Source organism: Homo sapiens, chromosome 21 (assembly GCF_000001405.40).
Source record: "Homo sapiens chromosome 21, GRCh38.p14 Primary Assembly".
NCBI classification, from domain to species: Eukaryota; Metazoa; Chordata; class Mammalia; order Primates; family Hominidae; genus Homo; species Homo sapiens.
In genome coordinates, this window is record NC_000021.9 from 26,826,050 (window position 1) to 26,848,191 (window position 22,142).

A 22,142-nucleotide genomic window follows, 5' to 3' on the forward strand; every position below is an offset into this window, starting at 1 on the left:
AGAAAAATGATATAGCGTGGTTTTTTTGAAGAAAACATGGAAAATTCATGAAGGTACAAAGAAGAAAACAAAAATAGCTAGTTAGGTTACTTTTGTATATATGTTTTGTTGTGCGTGTGTGTGCACACAACTTGGCAGCACAACACGGCTTAATACCTAAGAGTATAGAAGGCGTATGCTCTTGAGGTTGGGTTCTTGTCTTGGTCCATTTACTGTTGCTATAACAGAATATGTGAGCCTGGGCAGCTTATAAAGAAAAGTTTATTTGGCTTGCGGTTCTGCAGGCTGTACAAGAAGCAGGGCACTGGCGTTCGCTTGGCTTCTGGTGAGGGCTTTCATGCTGCGTCAAAATATGGAAGAGAAGGTCTAAGCGGAAGTGGGCAAGTGTGAAAGGAAACCAAAGCCAGGGGATGAGGGATGTCTGTCCGAGCTTTACAGCAACCCACTCTGGAGGGAACTAATCCATTCCCAAGAGAACAAATGCCATTGCTACAGAGTGAGAACTCATTCAGTATGGTTAGATGGCATCCAGACATTCAGAGGGTTCTGGCTCCCTGATCCAAACACCCCCCACTGGGCCCTACCTCCCACCACAGCCATGCTGGGGGATTAAATTTTAACATGAGATTTGGTGTGGACAAACAAACCATATCCAAACCTCAGCGGCAAATGACCCATGCTCTACCTCTTGCTAACTGCCCTACCTAAACCAAGCAGTTCAACCTCCCTTTGCCTCTTTCCTTATCTATAAGATAGAAATTATAATAATGAAGCTTTTTTAGGATTAAGTGAGTTGATTTATATAAAACACATTGTAAATTTCAAAGAATGTTGATTATCAGCTGGGCATGGTGACTCACACGTGTAATCCCAGCACTCTGGGAGGCCGAGGCTGGTAGATCACTTGAGGTCAGGATTCAAGACCAGACTGGCCAACATGGTGAAACCCCATCTCTACTAAAAATAGAAAAATGAGCTGGGCATGGTGGTGCATGCTTGTAAGCCCAGCTACTCCCAGGAGAGTCACTGGAACCCTGGAGGCAGAGGTTGCAGTGAGCCGAGATCGTATCACTGCACTCCAGCCTGGGTGACACAGTGAGACTCCATCTCAATTAAAAAAAAAAAAAAGAATGTTGATTACCATCATTACTATCTGAGATTCAACTTTTCTTATGTCAATAAATACAGTATACCTCTTTGCTGGCTACATTCAGAGTTATGTAACATTCATATATAAATCTTTGTGAAACCTTCAGATTATTTAGCATAGATTCCTAGGAGTAGAAATATCTATATCCAATAATTTGAGTTTTTTGAGGGTTACTTATTAAATAAAAGTCATATCTCACAGGCATAGTTTTAGGAGTTTGGGGAATGGTGAGCAAAACAGACCCAGAGCTAGAAGAGGATATGGTTTCTATGAAAAGTGACAATGGAGAATGTACAGAGTACTTTGAGAGTGCAATCTAGCCTGGGGGGGATTTAAGATAAAGTGACATTGACTTTAAGATCTAAAGAATGATTAGGGATTAATTAAATGGCCATTTGGAAGCAGGAGGTGAAATCAATGGCCAGCAAGAAAGTCTTGAAACAAGTTTGGGAGAAACCTCAAAGGAAGCCAGAAGGGAGGAAGAGAGCTTCTGGATGAAGAGGAACAGTTGGGCAAGATCCTACAAGTCTGGTAATCTGTCTGCAGATTTTGGCTTTATCCTCTACATAGTCAGAGAAGGGTTTGAACAAAAGAATGACATCCATTCTTAGGGTGATGCTTACACTAAAAGCCCAGACTTCACCACTATGCAATATATCCATGAAGCAAAACTGCACTAGTACCCCTTATATTTATATTTTTTAAAAAAATGACATTCGTTTGTATTACCAAAAATGAAACAAAGAACACTCTGGTTGTATGTATTGGAAGGAGCACTGTAAAGGAATGTGGCCTTCCCCTTAAGAGGCCTAGTGGTGGGAGAGATGGCAGCTGGGACTAGGGTGATGGTGATGAGGAGGCAGAGGCATGGAGATGGTGAAAAGACTTTGATGCAGTAGCAGAACCTGCCTATGGGCCACATGTAGAATAGGAGTGGGGAGAAGTAACTTCTAGCTCTCTGCTTCTGCAGCATACTGAGAAGAGAAGTGTAGAGGAAGCAGATCTGTTAAGCTGGAACTACAGGTTGAATTTAACTTTAAATGTATGAACTTTGAGGTTGAAAATTATGATTGCAACTTCAAGAAAGAGTGTTGTGATTTACATCTGCACCAGCAGGATTTGAGGGGGCTTTCACACAATCATACCAATTTTTGATATTATTGTAATTTTTACTAACATTATTTTTAAACTTTGCCTATTTGGAACCTGAATTTTAATCTTGTTTAAAAACATGCACTCTGATTTCTAGTAGTCTGAGCATTTTTTTCTGAACTTTAGGTACATGTAGATTTTTTTCAATTGTCTGTTCAGGTCCTTTGACAATGTCTTGAGTACTTATTTTTATCTATTTGTATGAATTTTTTCTACATAACAGATCACAACCCCATACCTTTTGTATTTAATGAAATACTTTTTTCTTATTTTTTAAAGAATTCTCTTGAAACATGGAGGTATAGAGCTTTTAAGCCAATCAAATCATTCCATGTATCTGTGTGTGTGTGTATTGTGTATATATGTGTGTGTTTGTGTCTTGGTTGTGTAATCACATTCATTGTTTCTGTGTTCACATATACTCTCCCATCCAGGGAGCAGACAAATATATCCTTATATTTACTAATACTTCTTAAGGTTTTTGTGATGGTGGACTTTCTGTGTCAACTTGACTGGGCCCTGGAGTATCTGGATATTTGGTTAAACATTTTTCTGGCTGTTTCTGTCAGGGTGCATTTGCATGAGAATAACTTTTGAATTGGTAGACTGAGTAAAGCGGGTTGGCTTCCCCAGTATGGATGGGTCTCATCTGATTTGTTGAGGATCTGAATAGAACACAAAAACTGAGTAAGGGAGAATTTTCTCTCTCTGCCCAATTGCCTTTGAGCTGGGACATGGATCTTCTTCCAGTATCAGACCTAGACAGAACCATACCATCAGCTCTTCTTCTTTTTGTTTTTTAAGAGATTGCTTCTTGTGAATACCATTCACAGATGCCAACCATCAGATATAGATGTTTGATTAGCCTAGTCTTCTGGGACTCCAGCTCACTGACTACAGTTCTTGTAATTTCTCAGCCTCCTTAATCGTGTGATTAAGGATGGATAGATAGAGAGATCTAGATAGATCTAGATAGATAGATAGATAGATAGATAGAGATTTACTACAAGATTTATTTATTGTAAGACAGATATATTCCCACCCAAACAGAAACAAACAAACAAAAAACCCAGAAGAACTATACAAATCTTTGGAGTCATCTAGCATAGTTTTTTTCTTTTCCTTTCATATCACATTCATCTGCAAGTCTCATTGTCTTGAGCTGTAGAATTTGACCTCTTTTATAACTTCTACAGCTATATAGATAGAGAGACATAGATAAATCTATATAGTTAGGTAGATAGATAGATATCTATATAAATTGATAGTTATAGAGATAGATATCGTATTGGTTCTGTTTCTTTGGAGAACCTTGACTACTACAGTTTTCATTTAAATGCTTTAACTATGTATCTAGAATTTAAGCTGATGAATAGTCCAAAAGAAGCCTCAGAATTTACTTATTTTTCCCAAATATTTTTCAGGGCTATGTTTTGAATGGTCCTTTTCTGCTCACAGATTTATGTTTCTAACTATTATCTAGTAATAATTTGTGGTTAAAGTTACTAAGATTTGTTTCTGGGCTATTTTTTTCATCCAACGTTATGTTTATCAATAATTCTACAACTACCATTTTGTTTTCTAATTGCAAGTTTAGGGTGAATTTACAAATCAAGTCAAACAAGTCTCTTGTATTATACCATGTTTTTCAGTTATGTTTCTCTCTGTTTTTCATTATCAAATTTATTTCTTCAGATGAACTTCAGAATCATGTTATCAAGTTCCAAAAATTTGAGTCATTAGCCAACACTTGAAATTTCATTAAATCTACTCATTATTTTAGGACAAAATAAACAGGTTATGATTTGGAGTCAATCTCAAAGAAATTTGTACGTCTTTTGCTTTATTTGAGTCTTCGTTTTATGTTTTTGTAAAGATTGGCTTTTTTTTTCTTACATATTTGATCTGTCCTTAGCTAGAGAGAGATGTTAAAAATAAATAGAACAGTGCTTTCCTATTGATTATCCTTTGTAATTTTTTTTAAAAGTTTTAAATTTATAGATAGTTGTTTTATTATCCAGGACACATATTTTATTGTGACTTGTACTTTTAATTCACAAAACTATTATTCTTTATTTTATTTTTTGTGTTTCCATCTTAAAAATAATTTGGCTGAAATCAATTCTGTTCCTATTTTCTCTGTGTTTGCCTAATAAATCTTTGCACTTCTTTGACAAAAATGTCATTTTGATTTAGATAGTTTCCTTTTACTTATCATGTCCTTGGATTTTATTTTTAAGCACATCCTGAAGATATTTGTCTTTTAATAGAAGAGTTTAAACAATGTGTTTCCATAATAATGTAATTGGAACTCCGTCATCTTATTTTGTGTTTTTACTTTGCTTTCCATTCTTTACTTTATGGGTTTCATGTGAGTTCTCTTTCCATGAAAAGACTTTTGTGTGTGTTTGTTTTCAAGAAATATCATTCATCTATAGTTATCTAATTACCAAACTCAAGAATAAAATTATATTCTTTGTTAACTCCCAATATAATTTGAGCAAATTCTTTTATAATTTTGTAAATATGACATATGGTTTTGTACTGGAATTATTTTTATTAAAATATCTCACATTATATATCCTCTTTTTTAACAACTATCTTTACATTTCCAGATCATTTTGAAACCATATTCTCTGCAGTTTATATTTTGCTATAGGTGTAACTGGTTTCAATAATACTAGAAATCTTGTATTTTAATTTCTGTTGATCTCTAGGTAGAACACAGCACACATATAAGTTGCACAAAATATCTCCCCACCCAAAACAAAAACAAAAACAAAAAAACAGAAGAACAATACAGATCTCTGGAGTCATCCATGATGGTTTTTTCTTTTCCCTTCACATCTACAAATCTGCACATCTCATTGTCTTGAGCTGTAGAAGTTGACCTCTTTTATTTCTTCTATAGCTATCACCCTAGCTCAGCCCACCATTGCTGTTTATTGCAATTATGGCAATGGTCTTCTATTGGGTCCTCTTCTACAATGGCTTCCAATTAAAATGTTAGGTAAGCATGTCTCTCCTGTGCTCAGTTCCTTTCGCTCCCCATCTTACTCTGAGCAAAATGCAAACATACTGCCTACTTTAGTGGAACATGCTCTCTGCCCTCCACCAACCTCCTATCCTCATTGCTCCAGCCACATTGGCCTCTTGCTGTCCTCTCCATTGCTCCAGCCACATTGGCTTCTTGCTGTCCTCTCCAAGAAGTGAAGCATACTTCCACCTGTAGTGGCCACCCCTCTATTATAATATCCCTCTGAGAGCTATCCCCTTCCATCTCTCTGGTTTCCACCCACATATCTCCTTATTTAAGAAAACTTTCTGTATTATTCTTCATAAAGTTTCACTCCTCACCTCCTTCACACCCCAATAAGTAATTGTTTTGTACTTCTCTTAAGAGCAGCAGAACATAAGACAATAGTAATCCTAAATAAAAAGAAACTACCCTAGCTAACAAAACATGCTAAATTTCAAAAAAAAAAAACTGTACTTTTAGAAACCTACCCTTACATAAAGGCAATATGGCTGCTAGAAGGGGCTGTAAAGAAAAATTCAGGTTTCTGAATTATGGAGACAAGAACACATTGAACAAAGGCCATATAAAGAATTTCCAAGACTGTTTGTGACCAGATGGAGACAAGTGGGGTGAGTGGGCATTGCGTATGGTTCTGAATTCCTCTGTGACTTGCTGTGTTCATGAGTTACTATATTTTATGTTCTGCTGTTCCTATGAGAAAGCATAATTTACTTTGTTGAGAAAACACGTAGATGAACCAAAACATCTTCCATCTTTAATGACATCACTCACTTTCTGCCAATGTCATATGAGTTCACCCATGTCACAGAAATATGTGCATGGCAGAACAGACTACATTTCCCTACTATGATATCTTTGCTTAATTTCCTTGATAGTCCCAGCACACGCAATCTTAATATTAATAAGTATTTTTTTCTTTTGGGAAATCAATGAGGTTAGAAAATTATGGCTGCTGTATATTGTTCCTCTTTCGTTAATATCTGTAGTGGACTCTTCTAGAAGACAAATGAAACAAAGAGCTGGGAACTATTTTTGCCAATCGTAGATGAAATCTCTGATCCGAAAATTGTGCTTGGATTTTTTTTTCTTTTTTTCTAAGATGGTGAACTGGATGCATTGTTAGCATGCCTCTCCCACTTGAAAAGACAAAATACTGTGTAGAAATTCATGCTGTGAACGTTTTTCCAAGAAACAGCATAGGAAATTAATCAAAAAACTGAAAGAAACCACAGACCTATTTCAAAGAAGTGGTGAGCAGCAGCTTACGCCGTGAACCACACAAAAACCTGTGAGTGTCCAGAGCGTGAGAGGGAGAGACTGCATTTATGACACACACTCTCACTGAGGAGCCAGGCAATCCAGGCCACGCTGGGAGGCCTTCACTCTATCCAGCGCTGGAGCTGACTTACTGCTGTGGGGAGCATATGAGGAATGGCGTGCGGATCTGCTTTGTGTTCACTCGCAGAATCCAGTGGTGATGGAAGGAAATCATGCCTGATCCTACCTCACGGAGGACCTCGCAGAAGTCTGCCAGCTAATTGAGTTAATGGTCATGGGATGAGAGATGCTCCCAACAGATGTGCGGTATAATTTTGAGTGGGAATGAACCCCATTGGCCAGAATTGAGAGTCAAGTGGGAACTGTGCTATAGCCACAGGCACAGAAGCTGGATGCCCACGCTTTGCTGGAGGACCAGAAGAGGTGTGGCCTGAAAGCCGCAGTTTCTCTCTCAGCCCAGAATGCTTCTGGCCTGGGGCAGTTTGGAATTCTGAGTGCAGGCTGTCTGGAACCCAGCTAGCTGCTGCTAGTAGAACACTGTGGATGCGAGACCTGCCTTGCCAAGTGTGTGGGGGCTGAGTGGGGCTTACTGCCACCTGCTACCCCCGACTCCCCATGTGGATTCATTTGTACAGCAGAGGCAGCTATACTCCTCCCTGTAACATTACCCCAGCAGGCAGGGAGTTGCCCTCTGATCACCACTGGGGCTGCTGCTTGTACTCACAAGTGGGGAGCCAAACAGCAAACTTGCCTGACCCAGTCCCCACCTGGCTTTGCCCCTTCATCTGCCCTGGTAGTGTGATACAATGGACAGAGACTCCTGGGAGCTCCATGGCCCTGCACATTGCCTGAAATACCAGAGTACGCCACTCCCTTCCCCCCGACTCCCCTACCCATGGTAACATAAGGCAAGCACGAATCCCAAAACTACCAACACAGTTGGCATTCTTTTGCAAGTGCCACCTCCTGGCTGGAGGCCAAGTGGCACAGCCCATTACAACATCTGCAGGTACAATAACACAGTGCCCAGGAAGGAGAAAACTTGCACAACCTCAACTATCACCATTGCCTACATCACCCTGGCTAGCCAGTAGATCTTGAGTCTGTCCATGTGCCCAGTACATGACCACCACAGCCGTATTTGAGAAGGCCAACACACTAAGGCTATTTATAACCACGGAAATCTCACAGGGTCTACGTCACTCCCTTCCCACCCACAACTGAGCTGGTACTGATATCCACTGCTGGGGGACCAGACAGATCACATCACTGGATCCCTTGCAAACATTCACCAGCACCAGCATGGAGTATGGAAACCTCACTGGGGATGAGACCCAGAGGAGCAGCAGTATTCACGGTAGTCTGGCCCTCAGGGACCGCTACTCTTAGGGGTGTGGGAGTGCATCACATTAAAGGAGCATCGTATGGGACAAAGGAAACCAGACTGCAGGCCTTGAGTCCCTGATCTTTCCACTGTGGAAAGTTTCTTTCAGCAGAGGCACAGCTCATCATTTATACCTGTAACAGGAGAGAGCACAAAATCTCTCCTTCTTTCAAGCAAGCGGTTAATCAATCTTCTAAAACCAGGATGTGTGTTTTGAGCTAATCTCTGCCAGCAGAGTATCTTAAACTACTCAGCCTACTGATGAAAAAAAAATTTCACCAGCAGAGGGCTGAAAAACAATGTGGCAACACCAGAAAGTTGTCTGACATTGCCTTGATCTGAGAGGATGATAGGAAATTTTTTGGCTGATTTGATCTCTTAGTGTCCTGAAGTTTAGTGTCATTACTTACATCAAATCAATCTAAGCTATTAAAAAGAAAAGAATTCTGGTGAATGAGGCAAGATCTAAAAGTGACTTTTTAATCTTATGAGCTATCATTTTAGATTTATATATCTCATTTTCTCAAATGGCATGTATAGTTAATGAGGGTCAGGGCATTTCTCATGTATATCCTCCATGTCACTTACTGTGGGGATTTGTACTGCACTAATGTAGACAAATAATTTATTGTGAGAGGTTGTTGTTGCAAGTGGCAAGTTAGGCCACTGAATTGAATGATTAAATTCTGCGTTTAAATGAGTTCTGGAGGAGCAAGACTAGTTCCCACAATGTGAGAAGATGACTTTAACTTTCAGTCCTTTAGTCTAGTAGGTAGGAAAAAAAAATAACCAGAAATTAATTTGATTCTCTGCACCTGTACACCTGACTGCTGAGAATGATATGTTCAATTGCTCAGGGGAAGAACACTTTGAATAACTGAGAGTAAGTTAGAAATTATCACCTATACATAAAAACTAGCATGCTATATTGTAATACCTGTGATATGGTTTGGCTGTGTCCCCACCAAATCTCATCTTGAATTGTAGTTCCCATAATTCCTGTGTGTTGTGGGATGCAGTGGGAGGTAAATGCATCATGGGGGCGGGTCTTTTCTGTGCTGTTGTTGTGATAGTGGATAAGTCTCATCAGATCTGATGGCTTTATAAAGAGGAGTTCCCCTGCACAGGCTCTCTCTCTTTGCCAGCCGCATCCACGCAAGACATGACTTGCTCCATCTTGCCTTCCGCCATGACTGTGAGGCCTCCCTAGCCATGTGGAACTGTGAGTCCACTAAACCTCTTTTTTTTCCCAGTCTTGGGTGTGTCTTTATCAAACTGCAACAGAAGAGGGCACAAACTCCTCCTTTCAAGGAAAAGAAGAAAAACGTAGAGTTCAAAATGTCTGTGGTTAACCACATAATCTGAGTCTTCTAGTAAATACTATTTCCTGGGAGAAGTGTAGTTACTTTGGAAGGAATCTGAACTTTTAGTTATTGATATGCCACTTAGTATTTAAAAGACAGTGATTTACAAAAAGACTATGCAGAAAGGCCTGGGCTTTCCAAGTTTTCTCCAAAACCCCTCAGGTATTCCTGATGAGCAAGTGAAGCATTTAGAGGGTTTAACTCACCATGTATGTCTAACGTTACTACATGTAATTTATGAGTCATTGTTTTCTACTCAATAGCTAAATACTTTCACGTATTTTTACTTATGGGATATAATTGAGGAAGAGATACAAATTCAAAAAGCATCCAGAACTGAAAGCTCTTTCCATTTAATTTATGGTATATACCAGGGTTGGCAAACTGAATCTGCAGAACAAATCTGACCCATTATTTGTTTTTGCAAGTAGTTTTTTTAGAACACAGCCATGTCCATTCACTTACTCATTCTTTATGGCTAGTTTTGTGCTACAACAGCACAGTTGAGCAGTTGTGACATAGATGGTATTGACAGGATAGTTATTGACAGGATTGACAAAGTTGCAAATATTTACCATTTGGCTTTTTACAAAAGAAGTTTGCCAACCACTGATGTATATTATTAGATACATTAGTAACAAATGACATCATAAATTTCTTTCTTTTTAGCAATCATGTATACCAAGGATATAAGAAATACATCTCATTAGAAAAAAATCTTCTATTCAGCCGTCTTGCTTCACCTTCCTCTAGAACAAAATCTTATTGCCAAATAATTTAAGAAAATAATTCGGTCTTCAGATTCAATATTTGTGCCTCAGGTTTCCTTCCTAGGAATGAATTCCCACTTCAAAAAACAGACACACACATTCCAAAAGTGTTCTTTTATTTCTAGTAACATATATTGTATAAATACTCTATTTTATATGCACTTCCACAAAAGCGATATAATTTAAAAGTTTTTTTCATTAGAAATAAATGTATAAAAATAAATATGTTATTATAGGCATTTATTACTAACTATAGTCCTTCTTGGAAGGAACACCCAAACCAATACTTATAAAGTACATGTAATTTATAGTAACATATTTTACTATATACATATGGAAAAAATCATATTCTCACAGAAGAGCTGAACAGACATTCACCAGGATACGACTGTTGGACCAGCTGCTGGAGATGGACCTGCTACCCCTCAGCAGCCTCCCCACCACAAGACAAGTGATCTCAATGTCCCCAAACCTGTGGGACCCTGTTCTACACACCTCATTTTTGTTCCGGCGTTTCATCCTCCTTGTGTGATTGTACTGATTTTCATGAGACACAAGTTACTTCTTTACATCCATATTCCCAAAGCAGGGTTACATGGTAGGAAAGAAAGGAAGTTGGAGGTACTAAGCTCATTGTGTCTCCTCTAGCTTTTACCAGCATCTAATGCTTCACTGCTTTTTTTCCATTGTAGACTTTAATGCACTTGAATAAATACATGGAGTTGTTTTTTCCTCAAAATGAATTACACAAATAAAGACTGAGATGGTCCAAAAAAGGAAAGAGGAAGCCATTTGCGTTATTTCACGTTGCTGAGCCTTTCTCTCATGTTGAACAATCTGAAGTTTTAATTCTCGGTAGAAATAATGTATAAACATTCTCTGAAACCATAGCAGCCATAAACAGTGCTGGTCAAAGATCCTATTTGTACTCCTTTCTCCCCCCATTGTTAGTGAGGTAAAGTAAAACAGGTCTTAGTAAAATCTCACTTTTCTCCTACTTTTCATTTCCCAACCCCCATGATACTAAGTATTTGATAAGTACCAGGAAACAGGGGTTGTAATAGTTCTAACTTTTTTTGACAATTGCTTTGTTTTTTCTAAACTTGTAATAGATGTAACAAAAGAAATAATAATAATAATGCCCGGGGCTTTATTATGCTATATCACTGCTCAGAGGTTAATAATCCTCACTAACTATCCTATCAAATTTGCAACTGGCAGTTTACTCTGATGATTCAACTCCTTTTCTATCTACCCCCATAATCCCACCTTACTGATACACCTCACTGGTTACTGGCAAGATACGCTGGATCCCTCCAGCCTTCTTGCTTTCCCTGCACCAGCCCTTCCTCACTTTGCCTTGCCCTCAAAGCTAACACCACTTAAACCACTTAACTGCATTCTGCCATTGTGCAAAAGTCTATGAAATGTTTAGGTTTCTTTAAAGGATCACAGCTCTCATGAGATAACACCCCTCCATCATGGGACAGACACTTCAAGCTTCTTTTTTTGTAACCCTTCCCACAGGTCTTAGAACATGATGACCACTCCCCCAGCTGCCACTGGGGGCAGGGATGGTCTGCACAAGGTCTGGTGCTGGCTGGCTTCACTTCCTTTGCACACTCGGAAGCAGGCTGTCCATTAATGTCTCGGCATTCTACCAGTCTTCTCTGCCAACCCAATTCACATGACTTAGAACATTCGCCCCACTCTTCAATGACCCATGCTGAAAAAGTGGGGATAGCATTGAAAGATTCCTTCTTCTTCTTTACGAAGTAGGTGTATTTAATTTTAGGTCGAAGGGCATTGCCCACAGTAAGAACCTGGATGGTCAAGGGCTCTTTGAGAGGGCTAAAGCTGCGAATTCTTTCCAATGCCGCAGAGGAGCCGCTGTACCTCAAGACAACACCTTTGTACATAATGTCTTGCTCTAAGGTGGACAAAGTGTAGTCACCATTAAGAATATATGTGCCATCAGCAGCTTTGATGGCAAGAAAGCTGCCATTGTTCCTGGATCCCCTCTGGTTCCGCTGTTTCACTTCGATGTTGGTGGCTCCAGTTGGAATTGTGATGATATCATGATATCCAGGTCTGCAGGTGACAAAAACAGGCATAAATCTCTGATTCATTGGCTAATTAGATTATTTAGCTTAAAAACACATTAATCTTTTATGAGACATATTTTTTTCCCAGACCTGTTGAAAGGCCCATTTAAATTATAAGGTCTGCAAATAGGTGTTTTAAAACTTACTTTGCACTAGTAACTGATCCTGATATTTTTTTACAAGTAGATCCATTTCCCCCGCAAACACCACATTTATCAAACTTCTTTTTGGAGTCTATGATGCGATCACAACCAGCTTTTACACACTGTCCTTGCACACAGACAGAGGTGGAATCTGGGCTACATGGAGTACCATCTACAACCTGAAAAAAGGACACATGTCTAGTGTTACATACAAGCAAAGGAAGGAGATGCTGCAATGATAAGTGTAAACATTTTCTCTCTACTTTCCTGACCATGCTAATTAAACACAGTACCCTCTACACATTATGCATTTCATGCATTTACCCTTCACTTTGGCATATTTTTCAGTACTACGTATAGACATCTGAAGAAATTAGATATTTTTAAAAATTATTTATCTATTGACCTATGTCTCCTCCAGCTAAGGTCAATGAAAGTAGAGCTGTTTGTCACTTTGTTTACTGCTGTATCTTCAGAGCCTAGAATAATTAGTATCTGGCAAGAGTAAGTGCTTCAGAAATCACTTGCTGAATATTGAATCTGCAACTTGGGAATATTTTCATAGCCTATGGTGCTAATGACACACGATCATCTCAATCACATTAAATTCCATTTTCTGTCTCAGATCCAGATGTATTCCCTTAGCAAAACAGCAAAAGAAATGATGCTTTTCCTAGTTCAATATGTGTTTTCAAACATAAAAATAATCAATACTCAGACTACCACTTCTATTATTCTGTTTGCACCTGCTACTGCTAGTTACCCAGTAACAAGTATTTTGGACCATGCATAGACTATTTTCCAAAACTACTGGTTACTGTGTGAATATAAAATGTATCTAACTATGAGCTGTATGTGAAGCCTAGTCGCACAGAGGAGCGCTTGACTGTCCAAAAAGCTTTTCTTTGCATATAAAAGAGTAATAGCGAGCAATTGCAAGCATGTGAAGTGTTAGATTTAAGCTTCATTCATAACTGAAAACACTAAACTCAAAGCAGGCAGTTGCCAATTAATGTAAAAGAAAAGGAGTTCAAATTTGAAATTGAAGATATGTTAATATGGAAAGCAAAGAAAGTATAACAAAAATTGTTTGAAAAGGTAGCAAGCCCAGGCCTTGATTTTTAGGTAAAAATAAGGTAAAAACGAACTACCTTGGGCTGCAAAACGAAGAAGTAGCCAATGCCTTTGGCTTGGCAGATGAGCTTGCACCTGTCCTTTGGTGAGACGCCAGCGTACTTGGGAATCCATTCCACCGCAGGCCCACTCCCAAAGGAAGCTTTTGAAAACTCGTTGTGTGCTTCACATTGTTCCTCTCTAAAGGTTTTTCCTGGAAAGAGAATAATATGATAACATTATCAGTTTCCAATCTTGAGCCACCTGTTTGTGGGTACATCTTTTTTTAATCCAGTTTCTTAAAACCAGAGTCCGTTGCTCCTCACCATTATTGTCTGGACAGTCCTCAAGGTTACAGGATCTGTAGCGCACTCGTTTGCCTTCACAGTACTTCCCTCCATTCTTTGGGACTGGGTTGTCACATTCCCTCATCGTGTACTGGACTCCTCCACCGCACGTTCTCGAACAGTCTCCCCAAGGCCCCCACATTCCCCAGCTTCCATGAAAAGGCGTCTAAATGGAGACATAAATCATCAGCATTAGAATTATCTAAAGAGAACTTTTAGGGTATCAAAGAAAGCCACATGGGACAAAGAATCAGTTCTAAAAATAAGCTATCTCGCATTCCTGCTAGAGGACACGGATGGGGATGTTTAACTTGGTATCATATCTTTTACCATCACTTTGTTCTTTTCAATTCTGAATGTGTTTCAGTAGAAAAACTCACATCAAAATGCTTTCTGTCGGTTTTGTTCACACACTTGCCGTTGATACACCATTTCCCTTCTCCACAGCTGGTGCCATCCGCCCACGGGAAGTGTTTGGTTTGACACACCAGCACCCCACCAGAGGTGCCGGTACACCACAAGGTGCTACATGTGCTGGCTGCATCGGGGCAGTGTTTGGAGTCCTCCCCAAATGTAAACTGGCACTGCCGGTTGGCATCGTACGAGGTGCCAGGGAGATCGCCTGGGAGCTGTATGGGATTCTGAGGCTTGTCCATCAAACATTCCCCTGCAAAGGAAATGCCAACCAATATCAATACAGAGTTAGTGAGGGCATGAAGGGGTAGATCCCATTTCAGAAAATATTTATCATATGAGAAAATAGACAGCAAAGTGATCTGAAAACTGTAAAGCTGGGGGAGGGAAATGCTGAAGAGATTTAGATTACTATTAAGATCTTATCCTCAATGGGGTATTTCTATATTAACAATGACAGGAAGTTATTGATCTGCGAACAATGTGAATGAATGGGCTTTGGGAGCTACTCAACCGGAAGCACTATTTTTTATTTGGAATTAAGATCTCAACAGTTAGGATCTTGACAGAGGAAAAGTAATTTTGAAGTGGGGAAAATAAAAAGAACAAAAAGGAAAGAGTTCATTTAACTAAACTTTATGCGTGAAAGGTTGGATGCCATCTAGAGAGAGTAGCTGGAATATCTCACCATGACCATTATCCAGAAATGATGTAATCATGTAGGCACTGCAAGGAGACCAAGGCTGGCTGTGGTCCAGGTTGGAAAGCATTGACGCCATCATGTGGGAATCCTGGTTCACACCATTAAGGCTGGCACACTGCTTTGCATCATCATGTGGCATGTTAAACACGTGGCCTAGGAAGCAATCCAGAACCCACATTAAAGTATGGATCATGGCTGGGTGCGGTGGCTCACACCTGTAATTCCAGAAGCCGAGGCGGGTGGATCACTTGAGGTCAGGAGTTCAAGACCAGCATGGCCAACATAGTGAAACCCCGTCTCTACTAAAAATACAAAAATTAGCCGGGTGTGGTGGCATGCACCTGTAATCCCAGCTACTGGGCATGCTGAGGCAGCAGAATCGCTTGAACCCAGGAGGCAGAAGTTGCAGTGAGCCGAGATTGTGCCACTCCACTCCAGCCTGGGAGACAGAGTGAGACTCCATCTCAAAAAAAATAATAATAAAATAAAATATGGATGATATGCAGCAGGTTCTTTTTTCCCAACAGGGATTCATTCATTTGTCCCAAAATAACATTTCTAGAGAAAGAAATATATTTAGGAGATTGGCTCTTTTGCAGACCATGTCTACTTTTCACAGGGTGTAAACAAACATACACATTTCCAAATGTCCAGAGCTACTACTATCTTATTTTTTACTTTAATAAAAATGACCATGTTTGAAATAGTGACAAAATATTTTCTATAGTTTCTAAGATGCACTAGGACCTAAAATAGCAATATAACCTACAGACTCTCCTTCTTATATTGTTTTACCAGTTTACATTTCTGAATTGAGCTTAACTTCTACTTTGAAGCAGACTTACCTAATTCATGGGCTGTGGTGAAGGCAGCTTGTAAACCATCATCTTCTATGACGGAGCAGCTTCTGCTCGGATCACACACAGTTCCAACATCAGCCATCCCAAGAGTATCACATGTCTGGGACCCACACAAGTCCTACAAAAAGCAAAGGTAAATACTTATTAATAAGGGGAGCATGACCCTTGGGATCTAACTTTTTTGGCAGGGTGTGCCTTCACATATGCTTTGGAGCATCTACATTCATTATTGTTGACATAAGAAGACTTCATGTGACTTTAATCAAGCTTTTTTCTAATGCTTTTAAAATAGAACTGTGAAACTTGAGATATTTAAATTACAGTAGAAATGAGTAAGATAAACCATGCTAGCCAATTAAAAAAGGTTAACTGCAAAAACACTGGTGAAATGCCTTGTATATATCTTTTTGGTACAACGTAGACTCCTAAGAGGACAGTCTCACAGCTGGTACCATCTTCCTCTTACCTGTCTGGTGAAAAGAATTGCTGTGTCATAGTGCTCTGCATCCCGGTCACTGGGTGGGTTGTGCTGCTTCTGCCAGTTGCAAAAGTTCCGCAGAGTGAGGGCAGCATTGGAGGTCACTTCCGGCCCCTTCTGTTCATCGTGGATGACCAAGATCTTCACCACCACCAGGCTAACTGAATTACGAATGCTGGGGTGTTTGTACAATCTGGCTGCCACCGAAAACAACGTGAGAAGGTAATGCTTTAGACCACTGCCGTGGAATTCTGCCATCGACTGGTCTGCCACAAGCATGGTTTCCACATAGCGGTGACTGGACACAAATCGCTTCTTTCTTATGCTTCCAGTTCCTGTAAAGAAAAAAAAAAGTTTGCTTATGGTCAGGCTGTCCAAGAATAGTTACCTTCCTAGCATATATTAGGAAAGCCTAACCAGTCAAAGCAAACAAAGCAAAAATATACCCAGAACAACAATAACAAAAATATTTGCATATCTTCACTCCAAGTGTTATTTTTAAAGTTCTCTCCTCTCCTTTAAATAAAAAGACCACGCGCTCCTTTGCATGGTCAGGATCTTTCTGTGTGTGAGCAGGATTTCTTCTGTTCTCTTTGAAATCCCACAGTCTGAACAAGGCAATTTCGCACATAATCCTACCCAATTGTAGTAAAATCTTGGAGCAAGAGCGGCAGGCAGAGGCCCTGAGTCACTCTTTCACAGGCGAGGGCTCAAATCCTGAATGAGATCATCAGGCTCCACGTGGAAGGCCTCGGGTAGGGCCTGGGCTGCTGCCAAGGGGCCGGGCCTTAAGGAATCTCAGACTGCACAGCTCTGCTGTCTCATTCCAGGGGTCCCTGGGGTGCTCCGCTCTTGCCAATTCCGGGCACAAGGACCACCCACTCTGCCCAGCAGCCTCTGGCCCCACTCCCACTGCCCCAGCGAAATAAGTTCCAGCTTCCAGGCATGATTGATTATTTGGAACAGAGCCTTCCACTCCGGACTGAGACCCAACCCCTGCAGAAAGTCCTAAACTGGGCTGCGACCACTTTGCTCCCAGGAGCAGAGGAGCAGGGGAAAAGGGGAGAATTCTTTAAAAAATGACACGCGAGAGAGTTAAAGAAGGAAAAAGGCACCAAAGTGATGAAACAAAAAGAACTGGAGAATAAGCACTGCACAGAGAGAAGGCCGTAGCAGGAAGGACCGGCAGTGACTTTCAACAGTGCTTGAGAGCAGAATTATGGCCGCGAGAGGGAGTGCAAACTGGGAGGCGGGGCAAACCCGGGAAAGACCTCCCAAGCAGGTTCTGCGAAGGGGCCCCACCGCCTTCAGCCCGCCTGGGTCAGCCTTATAAGGGGGAAAGGGGACAGAAGTCTGCAGAACAGAGATCCTAGCGTAGCCGCTCAGGGTACCTTCCCAGGTCACCATTGCTCCTCTGCCCTCTCCACATCCGCCCTCCCGTGAGCGCAGGATGCACGCACAGGCAGCGGTTACAAAACTCAGCGCAACGTTGCAACCCGCACAAAAGGCGCACACAAAATCATTAAAAAGAAATACACAGAGTGGAAAGAACTCGCACAAGCTCCAACTCGCTAAAGGTGGAAGGAGTCAGGTTACAAACTCTCCCTCCCCGGCCTAAATGCTTTGCTTTAGTTTGCAGAAAATCGTTTGTCAGTTTTTTTCTTGGTTATTCATTATTCGGGCAAATGCAAGTATGTTTTCTAGCTGAGTTCACCAATCCAAACCTCAAACCACATTCCTCCACTCCAGGCCTCCGTTCTGTCCGCGGACTTATGATCCTGCCTGCCAGCAGGAGTCTACCCTGAAGTCGCGTGGGATAGATAAAGTGAGGAGAGGAGGATGAATGGACAGACAAACGAGAGCAATTCTTCTACCTGTGGGCTGTCCTACGCCTTGCAGTGCCGGGTCCTGCGGCGACCACTGAGCCCCTTCGTCCTCGCCCTCAGTCCCTTCGTCCTCGTCTTCGGTCTCCGCTTTCCCAGTCGGCCGGGGCTCGTCGTCCACGACCCCGCACGTGCCGCCGACGTCGCCCTGCCGATTCCGCCGCAGGAGGTGGAACTGTAGTGGTGCCGGCGGCTTCTCCCCTGGGGCGGCGGTGGCGAGGCGCTCGCTGGCGGCGGGCAGCGGCTGGATGAAATACGCCTCCCCCAGCAGGTAGAAGGCGCCGCGCACGCCCTCGCAGAGGCTGAGGGCGGCAGCCGAGCTGGGATCGCCATTCACGGTGCCGGAGTAGAAGCAGTGCGCCAGGTCGGTTTCCGGAAGCGGCGTCTCGGACCCGGATTTGCGCCCCACGTTCTGGAGCGTGAAGCCGGGCGCCAAAAAGCTGCTGTCGGGCCGCAGCTCCAGATCCAGCTGCTGGTCAAAGGCGTGCAGGCGGAGGCGCGTGGTCCCGTGTCCCGGGGCGCGCTCCAGCTCCGGCACCACTAGCTCCTCGTCCTCCTCGGAGGGGCGCCCGAGTGCGTCCGACACGGCCAGTAGCGCCGCGGCGAGCAGCAGCAGCGTGGGTACTGGCCCAAAGCTCCGAGACCCCGGAGCCCGCTCCGCGTTCCCCATGTCGCTGCCCAGCTTGCGCCTTCCGAACCCCTCGGGCACAGCTCGCTGCATTGGAGCCCCAGGAGACACCGCTCGTAGCAGCGCACGGAGCGAGGGACCTTTAGTTCGGGTCGGGAGAGCAAAGCCTCGTTGGCCTGCTCTGGATTGTTAAAATTAACAATTTCTATTATTCGTTGGAAGGGCGCGCAGAGCCGGCTACAGCCGAAGCTCCCGGAGTCACTAAAAGGAGGCGCTGCAGTTCTGCCGGCGCGCGGGAAGTTTTTCTTCCAGCGCAAAGTTGGAGACACTGAGAGGCAGGCGCAGGCAGAGTGGCTCTGCTGGGACAAGAAGCGCTCTGGGGCGCCTCCGGGGCTGAGGCAACGCGGAGATTGGTGCCTGGCGCCCCTCTTCGGCCTCCGCCTTGGCTGCGATGTTGCTCACTCTGCTCAGGGCTCTCCCCTCTCCGTCCGGTAGCGCACCCTGGCTTTGCAATAGCCCCTGGCTCGGAGCCGCTTTCCAGCGAGTGCAAGAACCGGGCAGCCGAGCGGTCCTTTTATAGTGGACCAGTGAAACCCCCACCCCCACCCCACTCCTCCCCTTTGGCCCTTTTCCATCCCAAAGACGCCGCCCCCGGCTCCGTTGGTGCTAAACCGCGCTCCGCGCTGCGGGCTCGGGAGGGGGAGGGGGCAGCCTCCGCGCTGGCTCCACGCCACTGCTCGTCAATCTAGGGGCGGAAGGGGCGCTGTGACCAGCACTTTGTACTGCTGGGGCCGCTCCAGGGAGAAGACTCTCCCTTCCACCGCTTTTCTCCCTCGCCGGTTTCCTGGACCACCCTTCCTCCCCACCGCCCGGTTGCGGTAACTCAGTTACCGCGCTGGGCTGCGGTTCCCAGGAGGGAGGGTTCGGTTGGAGAACGCAGTCCCTTCTTCAACATTTCCCTATCCTGGAGCTGCCCTGGGTCTCCTTCCCTCCTCCCTCAGTTCCCTCTTCCCCAATCTAGGAGATGAGCTAGGGCTACACTTTCTAGAAAAATACCTCACCCCACTTCTCCACCTTCCCAGCCTGCCAGGAGCTCCTTAGCCGCCGCCTGCTCTCTCTTCGCCCCAGCTTTTCTAGGGAAAGCTTGGCCCTGCGCTTCCCCCAGAAAGCATGCCTGGGTGAGGGGCCAGGTGACACTTCCTACGATCTGGATTTTAAAATATGTTTGCTTATGCCTTCACCCTCCACCAACCCCCACCCCGCACGCCACCTCTTCACCAGAGACGACTTTGTGAGGGCCCGGTTTCACATTTCTGGAATGGGTGATCTGGGACGCGGCTCAATTCCCTAGAGCATAAGGAGGGAATTGCGCTTTTTCTTCTTCATTCGAGAAATGATCGGCTCCCGCCAGTCTGCGTGCTTTCACTCAACAGCAGCTGCAAGCCCTAGGCCAGCGTCGCAGAAACGGCCAGGAACCCCACTTTCCTACCCGGGGGCCAGCAGCGATCGCTGGGGCTAGCAAGCGTGCAGAGGGGGAAAGAAGGAAATCGGCTTCCTTCCCGGACCCCTCCTTCCTCTTCCTACCAGGAAGGGAAAAGGCTATATCCGCGTTACGAAAGCGAGGAGAGGTCCACCAACAGGTCCTTAGGAAAAAAAACTGAGTGGCTCTTCTCTCCAAAAAGTGGGAGGGGCTCAAGGACCCAGAGGAAGGACGTGTTTCACAGGCGGAAAGCCGCGGGGACAATGGCGAGAGCGACCGCCCTAGCCCCGGGCGGACCCGCAACCCTCACACTCGCGCGCCCCCGCGTTAGTGCTCGAACTGGTCTCCGCCTTTCCGCCCCACTCCCGTCCGGTCTCTTGGTTGGCTCCAAGTAGATCTGGGTCCTTTCCTCGCTCCTCCCCAGATCTTCCCCACTTCAGTTGGCCCCAGCCAGAAGCGTCCCTTCTAGTTCTCCCACACGTCCCTCTTACAAGCTTTCTTTTCCGGATGCTTTCCAACTTCTTTTTTCCTAGCGAGATTGCTTACTTGAAAAACAAAAACAAAAACATTGCTTTCCACTCATCAGGAAAAATCAAATGAGCAAGAATGGCAGAGAGAAGCAACTCAGCTTACTTCTGAAGGGCTTAGTAACGACCTCTAGTCCCTACACATTTAGGAGTGGGTGGTTTCGTAGATTTAATTTTGGTTTCCTAAAATCACCCTCATCGTTGAACGTTGAATAATCAACCAAGGCCTTAGATATATTTTGACAGCGCTCGATTAACATTCTGATAGTGTTTCTGCCTACCTCTTTTCACTGAGTCTCTCCTTTGCAGCCCTCGCTGTCTCTCCCCCCCTCCCGCCGTTGCATTTCTCCTTCAAACTCAACATTGACATCCGCACACCTGAGTGTGTGATTCCTTTCTGCATTGTCAAGCATTGTCCAGCCTACCTCCTTCTCTTCGACTTCGAACTACGAGGATTATTCCTTCCTGTTTCTCTGTTTCCCAAGCGTCTTTTCCCAAACATCTGATCATTCCTACTTCCCAGTTTGGTTTTCAGACTTTTTTTTTTAACATTGTTATCTTCTATTACAGTAATTTTTTGACGGTCCATTTTCTATGATTTCATTTCATTTTACTGGTTCTTTCTAGCTAGAAAAAAGGCAAGATACTTGAGAGAACATATGAGGAAAGTCATGTTAGACTTTCAAGATATTGACCGCGGGATCACAAAAGCTTGAAGGCAAAGCCATCCGTACATTTTCAACCTCTTGCTTAGAAAAGGGCTCAGAAGATAATATATGGTGACAACAGTTACAGCCTCAGAGTGGCTTTGAGATGGAGATTTGAGATGGAGATTTTGGACACTCATAATCTCCATCTCAAGGAGAGGTGGCCCAGAGGCTGAATGAAGATGAGTGAAGGTAGATGTGATTCCCTTAAATTGGGGCAAAAAGGGACAAAAACAGCAGAAAATCTGTATCTTTAAAGACATATGTAATGTATTTCAGTCTATCAACTTCTCTACATAAACTTTAGCTTTTAAAAATATGTTAACGTAAGTTTGACCTTTAGTGTGTTTCTACCTGCAGGGTATTCTTATTGGAGGTTTGTTTAAAAGCATACATTTCTGATCTTGAATGGGTTACTACAAATCCATTATAATTGTTTCATATTTCATGTTGCAGATACAAGTAGGGTTGAAAAAACAGTGAGTTAAAGGCAAAAGGATGGCCGGGAACATGGCTTTTTTATTCTCTGGGTTTCTATCCAGATTTCTGTTCTTTTGCATAATGACTCCAATCTGTTGTGCACCTGTAGTTCTGGGAAATGATTCTTTTTTAATCG

The 22,142-nt window shown here is 43.1% G+C and overlaps 1 protein-coding gene across 1 annotated transcript, besides 3 other annotated features; it reads right to left on the reverse strand.

Moving 5' to 3' along the window:
• Positions 1-9,705: 9,705 nt before the first annotated feature.
• On the reverse strand, positions 9,706-19,360 carry ADAMTS1 (ADAM metallopeptidase with thrombospondin type 1 motif 1). Its single transcript, NM_006988.5, has 9 exons — positions 18,176-19,360; positions 16,290-16,636; positions 15,809-15,941; positions 14,949-15,116; positions 14,227-14,513; positions 13,826-14,012; positions 13,538-13,713; positions 12,390-12,565; positions 9,706-12,229 (listed from the first exon to the last, which is right to left on the reverse strand). The coding sequence occupies exons 1-9, from the start codon at positions 18,903-18,905 to the stop codon at positions 11,530-11,532; spliced, it is 2,904 nt and encodes a 967-aa protein (NP_008919.3). The 5' UTR covers positions 18,906-19,360; the 3' UTR covers positions 9,706-11,529.
• Positions 15,907-17,106: an enhancer, noted in NCBI's record as "MED14-independent group 3 enhancer chr21:28214275-28215474 (GRCh37/hg19 assembly coordinates)". NCBI's record gives its function as "activates an origin of replication core promoter dependent on BRD2, BRD4, P300/CBP and CDK7 cofactors, and independent of MED14, by STARR-seq in HCT116 cells {active_cell/tissue: HCT116}" and the evidence as "EXISTENCE:reporter gene assay evidence [ECO:0000049][PMID:35650434]".
• Positions 19,544-20,144: an enhancer, noted in NCBI's record as "H3K27ac hESC enhancer chr21:28217912-28218512 (GRCh37/hg19 assembly coordinates)". NCBI's record gives its function as "activates a minimal SCP1, AML or CMV promoter by ChIP-STARR-seq in primed H9 embryonic stem cells {active_cell/tissue: H9 hESC(primed)}" and the evidence as "EXISTENCE:reporter gene assay evidence [ECO:0000049][PMID:30033119]".
• Positions 20,145-20,744: an enhancer, noted in NCBI's record as "H3K27ac hESC enhancer chr21:28218513-28219112 (GRCh37/hg19 assembly coordinates)". NCBI's record gives its function as "activates a minimal SCP1, AML or CMV promoter by ChIP-STARR-seq in naive and primed H9 embryonic stem cells {active_cell/tissue: H9 hESC(naive and primed)}" and the evidence as "EXISTENCE:reporter gene assay evidence [ECO:0000049][PMID:30033119]".

What these genes read in the sequence shown, in the direction of transcription:
- ADAMTS1 (NM_006988.5), bottom strand. Translation starts at nt 18,905, where the DNA reads ATGCAGCGAGCTGTGCCCGAGGGGTTCGGAAGGCGCAAGCTGGGCAGC. An exon ending in CAATTCTTTTCACCAGACAG is followed by an intron (nt 15,942 to 16,289) that starts GTAAGAGGAAGA and finishes TGCTTTTTGTAG; the next exon opens with GACTTGTGTGGGTCCCAGAC. An exon ending in ATTTCTGGATAATGGTCATG is followed by an intron (nt 14,514 to 14,948) that starts GTGAGATATTCC and finishes TTTCCTTTGCAG; the next exon opens with GGGAATGTTTGATGGACAAG.